This window comes from Homo sapiens, chromosome 21 (genome assembly GCF_000001405.40).
Source record: "Homo sapiens chromosome 21, GRCh38.p14 Primary Assembly".
Lineage (NCBI taxonomy): Eukaryota > Metazoa > Chordata > Mammalia > Primates > Hominidae > Homo > Homo sapiens.
Window position 1 is genome coordinate 40,967,282 of NC_000021.9, and position 1,189 is coordinate 40,968,470.

The 1,189-nt window shown below is 41.5% G+C and overlaps 1 annotated feature.

The window, feature by feature from the left end:
• Positions 395-895: an enhancer, noted in NCBI's record as "NANOG-H3K27ac hESC enhancer chr21:42339602-42340102 (GRCh37/hg19 assembly coordinates)". NCBI's record gives its function as "activates a minimal SCP1, AML or CMV promoter by ChIP-STARR-seq in primed H9 embryonic stem cells {active_cell/tissue: H9 hESC(primed)}" and the evidence as "EXISTENCE:reporter gene assay evidence [ECO:0000049][PMID:30033119]".

The window sequence follows — 1,189 nt, forward strand, 5'->3', positions numbered from 1 at the left end:
TTGTCTCCCTGCCCATGAGGTTGTTGTGAGTCTCAGAAAGAGAATTAAGATGAGAAAACATTCTGCAAATTATAATGTACTTACTAAATGCCCTCTGTTACTAATAGTCTTATTGCAACTGATATTAGTAGGATAAGTGGGTAGTGAAGGAGTGCTGCATGAGTTATGTCAAACAATAGCTTCCAAGAGAGGACGTCTTGCTTGCTATTCAGTAGAACAGGGCAGTTGTGTGGGTGGCTTCTGCAGTCAGAGCATCTAGTTTGACTACAACTAGCAACACCCCTTCTTATCTATGTGATTTTCAATTAGCTTTAGAAATTGCACTAGTTTATTGGGAAATTGAGGTAAGGACCAAGACAGACAAACCTTCTATGATACTCATCATGATGCCTGATCAATGAATATTGGCTGCTATCGTTATGCTGTTATGTGTGACTGAACTGAGTCAATTAATTAATAGAATTAGAATGGCCCTTAGACACCTCTCCCTTCTTTATAAGATGAGGTCTCAAGCCACACAGGTCCAGAAACTTAACCTTAATGGACCCATTCTCACTAATTAAACTGACAGGAGATCAATGCAAAACCAGGATGTAAAATTCTTAAGCAGCACTGGGGACTGAGACCGGTTAACATATGGCAAAGCTTAGTAACCCTATTTGGAGGCTGCCTCGAGGCACACAGGAAGGGAGGGTGATTAAAAGGCTGGAGAAAGCTTCAGGGCTGAGAAGAGAAGAAGGGAGATTCCTTCGGCTCTCCCTTTGTCTCTCTAGGTATGCAAATGCCCCCAAAACTAAGGATTAAAAGGACTGAGTTTCCAAAACACAAGTCCTTGGCTAGCATTTCCCATAAGACACAGATCAATCTTCACAGCACAACTGTATCAGAGGCTCATGCCTCTGTCCAGAGCTACTTCCAATTTCATGCCCAGGTTTTCTTCATTTCATTGAAACTCTTGGTCATTCACAGAGGCTTGTTTTGGAGCCATTTTGCAGAAGCCTCTGAGAACAATGCAATTTCTAGTGTCTTGGTGCTAGACAGGGTCCCTTATATCCACCCTGATTATAGCAGGAAAAAGAGACCCTTGATTTTTGACACTCTTTTGTTCTTCCTCTGACTCTTGAACACATGGGCAATTTACCCCCATTCTTTTTTCTAAGAACATTTTTCAGTATAAATTGTGGCATGG